The 3,958-nt window shown below is 55.6% G+C and overlaps 5 annotated features.

Moving 5' to 3' along the window:
- Nucleotides 2,160–2,681: an enhancer, noted in NCBI's record as "H3K27ac-H3K4me1 hESC enhancer chr19:41833547-41834068 (GRCh37/hg19 assembly coordinates)". NCBI's record gives its function as "activates a minimal SCP1, AML or CMV promoter by ChIP-STARR-seq in naive H9 embryonic stem cells {active_cell/tissue: H9 hESC(naive)}" and the evidence as "EXISTENCE:reporter gene assay evidence [ECO:0000049][PMID:30033119]".
- Nucleotides 2,160–2,924: a biological region, named in NCBI's record as "H3K27ac-H3K4me1 hESC enhancer GRCh37_chr19:41833547-41834068".
- Nucleotides 2,405–2,924: a silencer, noted in NCBI's record as "silent region_10659". NCBI's record gives its function as "represses an Ori minimal core promoter by ATAC-STARR-seq in GM12878 lymphoblastoid cells {active_cell/tissue: GM12878}" and the evidence as "EXISTENCE:reporter gene assay evidence [ECO:0000049][PMID:35858748]".
- Nucleotides 3,464–3,513: a silencer, noted in NCBI's record as "silent region_10658". NCBI's record gives its function as "represses an Ori minimal core promoter by ATAC-STARR-seq in GM12878 lymphoblastoid cells {active_cell/tissue: GM12878}" and the evidence as "EXISTENCE:reporter gene assay evidence [ECO:0000049][PMID:35858748]".
- Nucleotides 3,624–3,763: an enhancer, noted in NCBI's record as "active region_14675". NCBI's record gives its function as "activates an Ori minimal core promoter by ATAC-STARR-seq in GM12878 lymphoblastoid cells {active_cell/tissue: GM12878}" and the evidence as "EXISTENCE:reporter gene assay evidence [ECO:0000049][PMID:35858748]".

Here is a 3,958-nt window from a genome sequence, read left to right as displayed (position 1 = left end):
TGAGCCCTGACTGTGCCACTGTATGCCAGCCTGGGTGACAAAGCAAGACTCCATCTTTTTTTTATGTTTTTTTTTTGAGACGGATTTTCACTCTTGTTGCCCAGGCTGGAGTGCAATGTCGAGATCTTGGCTCACCACAACCTCTGCCTCCCGGGTTTAAGCGATTCTCCTGCCTCAGCCTCCCAAGTAGCTGGGTAGCTGGGATTACAGGCATGCGCCACCATGCTCGGCTAATTTTGTATTTTTTTTTAGTAGAGACGAAGTTTCACCATGTTGTTCAGGCTGGTCTCGAACTTCTGACCTGAGGTGATCCGCCCGCCTCGGCCTCCCAAAATGCTGAGATTACAAGCATGAGCCAGCGCACCCAGCCAAGACTGCATCTTTAAAAAAAAAAAAAAAAAAAGACTGGGCACGGTGGCTCACACCTGCAATCCCAGCACTTTGGGAGGCTGAGGCAGGGGGATCACTTGAGGTCAGGAGTTTGAGACCAGCCTGGACCACATGGTGAAACCCTGTCTCTACTAAAATACAAAAAAAGGCTGGGCGCAGTGGCTCACGCCTGTAATCCCAGCACTTTGGGAGGCCAAGGCGGGCAGATCACGAGGTCAGGAGTTTGAGACCAGCCTGACCAACATGGTGAAACCCAGTCTCTACTAAAAATACAAAAATTAGCCATGGTGGCGCACGCCTGTAATCTCAGCTACTCAGGAGGCTGAGGCAGGAGAATCGCTTGAACCTGGGAGGTGGAGGTTGCAGTGAGCCGAGATCACGCCACTTCACTCCAGCCTGGGAGACAGAGTGAGACTCCATCTCAAATAAATAAATAAAAATAAAAAATACAAAAAAAAATTAGTCTGGCATTGTGGTGCACACCTGTATCCCAGCTACTCAGGGGCCTGAGGCAGGAGAATCGCATGAACAGGGGAGGCAGAGGTTGCAGTGAGCTAAAGTCGCACCACTGCACTCCAGCCTGGGCAACAGAGTGAGACTCCATCTCAAAAAAAAAAAAAAAAAGAACTTGCACTCAAGGAAGACAGGAGCCATGGCAGGGTTTGACCTAGGCGCTCAGAGGGTCCGCCGTCTTGCTCATGGTTGGGAGTGGACAGAAGTGTCAGGGTGAGGGTGAGCACAGACAGACCAGCTGTCCAGGCAAGAAATGGCAGCAGCCACAGGTGGGTCTCCCTCTGCTGTCTCCATTTCTTCCCATCTGCTATGGTCCTGCTTGTGAATTCTCTCCTGCTTCCTCTTTCTCCTGCCTCTCAGTTTCTGCTCTTTCTCCTAGGTTTCACTTCCCCACACCCAGTGATTGTCCTGGGAGGAAGGACAGTATGAGTGCTGCGGTTCCTTTGCCTGTGGGCATGAGAGCTGTTGGCAGCACTGGGTCTGGGTGCCAGGGACCTGGGGCCCTCCCAGCTCAGCATAGGGGTAGAAATGTGGTTACTCCTCTGGCCTCAGGTCCCAAAGCACACAGGGCTGAGGGAGGAGTGGGGAGGCAGGAGTTCACTATGCAAGGACATGCCAACAAATGGATAGGTATAGAGATGCTGAGGTCTGGCCCCAAGAGGCAGAGTCACAAGCTAGGACACAGTGACTCGGCTGTAATCGCTGCAGCCCTATGAGGATGTGGTGCGTGTACACATGCAGACACACTCACACGGCGGGAAACACGGACGGTGCCCCACACTACACAAATATTCACCTCTCAGAGCCGCCGTGGACACACAGAGATTCCTGCAGGGCCCGTAACACATGGGCTGTGTCATTTGGCAGCAGCTGCAGCCCACATATACACAGATACAAATAGAGAAAGTGTCAGCCCATCACGTAAACACCACCCAGCCTCGGAGCCTCACTGGGACACAACACGAGCAGAGACTTCAATAGGGACCTGGCACAACACAGTCATATACAAATATATTCCACAGGGTCATGGTCGCAACCACCGCACACCAGACACTGATTCAAACAGTGTCATGCACGCACACGCATCACGGCATCAGAGCCCGGACAGGAAATGGATCCCTCAACAGCCACCTCCTCCTCCATGGGTTCACAGTCACAAACAGGTCCAGGGTGCATGTCCACAGTCGGACCTGTCACAGTCCCACCAGACACACCCCACACAGAGGTCTGACACGTCACAACCTCACAGACAGCAGGTCGGTCTTACCCACTCAGTCTGACATCCCACACCCTCCGCCACACACGCACAATTCCAGCCTGGGGAGTCCCACAGGGCCCCACAGATTGCAGCGACCCCGTCACGTCACGCCCAGACACACTGTCACACCCAGGGTCCCAGACGGAGCAGACACACCCCCAGGGTGGCAGACGCGGCCCTCACATGCCCAGCCCCAGCTCGTGCCTCGGCCTGAGGACAAGTGCTGGCTGCACATTCGCGGTGTGGTCGGCCTGCCCAACACGCCCTCATGACACACCCCGCCCACCTGCCCAGGGCTGCCGGCTGAGCTGGCACAGCCCCACAGGGCGGGGAGGGGAAACTGTGGGCTCAGCACCTTCCTCTGGCCGCGTGCGCACTGCCCCTGCCCTGCCACCCTGGCACCCAGGCCCGATGGGTGGCTCAGCCCCGTCGGGACAAGTCTGCCCCCGCCTGTGGCCGACCGCAGGGGCAGGGCAGGGGGTTTGGGGCTCCCCGCTTCCTCCCCCTGCCCCGCCCCTGCCTCTGCAGGCGGCCCGGGGCCACAGAGGGAAGTCGTGGGGGGAGCCTGGGTTCCGGCTGGAGCCCCAGCTTCCTGTCCAGCCCCCGTGGGGCAGGAAGCTGCTGGGGGAGGCCAGCTCAGGCCTTCCTGCCCCCTCCCCCGCCCCCAAGACGGGCCTGGGACCCGGGTCAGCAAGGGGGAGTGGGGAGATTGGTGGGTGAGAGAAAGCCCCTTCCCCCTTAGTCTCTGGACATGCAGAGTATTTGAGGTTCCAGTGTGGATTCGGATTTGTGTGTTCAGGAACTTATTGTGTGCGTGATTCCAAGCTTTGTGGCGTGAGCTGCGTCTGGCATGGGTGTTCTGGGGGCCTGTGTGCTGTTTGGTATGGATGGTCTTGTCTATGTGTGTCCCCAGCACGTGTTAGCTCCGTGTGTTTGTGGCTGCGCTGCATTTCTGGGGTGTGCGTCTGCATTTTGTATTTCTGCTGGGCAAGCTGTTGTATTTTCTGTGGGTTTTATGCTCTGGCACTGTTTGATTCTGCAAGTCGGCCATGTATCTGGGGCATATTGTGTGTCTGATATTTTTCTCAACATCTTCACTGTTCTTCTGAGTGTAAATTTGTGCATTTTTAAGTGTAAGTTTGACTTGAAATGTGGTGTTTTCTGCATATGTTAATCATCTGTGGGAATGGTGTTTCTCCAGGAGAGGGGAGTGAGTGTGTGTGTATATGTGTAAGACGGGGTCTTGCTCTGTCGCCTGGGCTGGAGTGCAATGGCGCGATCTTGTCTCACTGCAAGCTCCGCCTCCCAGGCTCAAGCGATTCTCCTGCCTCAGCCTCCCGAGTAGATGGGATTACAGGCACCCACCACCACACCCGTCTAATTTTTGTATTTTTAGTAGAGATGGGATTTCACCATGTTGGCCAGGCTGGTCTCGAACTCCTGACCTTGTAATCCACCCACCTTGGTCTCCCAAAGTGCTGAGACACAGGCATGAGCCACCGCGCCCGGCCGTGTGTGTTTCTTACATATGAGGCAGATGAGTTGAGTTGTTTCTGGGTTGCACTGTGATCAGTGCATGTGTCGCTGGTATTCTGAGCATGTTTGTCTACGTGGTGTGCATCCAGCATGCTTCCTGTGGTTCTCAGTGTTTGTCTGTGTGAGGGAGGGCTGTACTTCGGGGCTGTGTGTCCATCTCAGGGACTGGTGTTCCCAGCCTGTGGGTGCTGTGAGCAGGTGCTAAGGTGGTGTCTGCATGCTGTGTTCCCACATGTAGGCTGGTGACTGCAGTGTGTGGAG

The sequence above is a fragment of the Homo sapiens genome, chromosome 19, assembly GCF_000001405.40.
Source record: "Homo sapiens chromosome 19, GRCh38.p14 Primary Assembly".
Taxonomy (NCBI): Eukaryota; Metazoa; Chordata; class Mammalia; order Primates; family Hominidae; genus Homo; species Homo sapiens.
The sequence above is the reverse complement of the archived record's forward strand: the minus strand, read 5'-3'. Positions and strand labels throughout refer to the sequence as shown.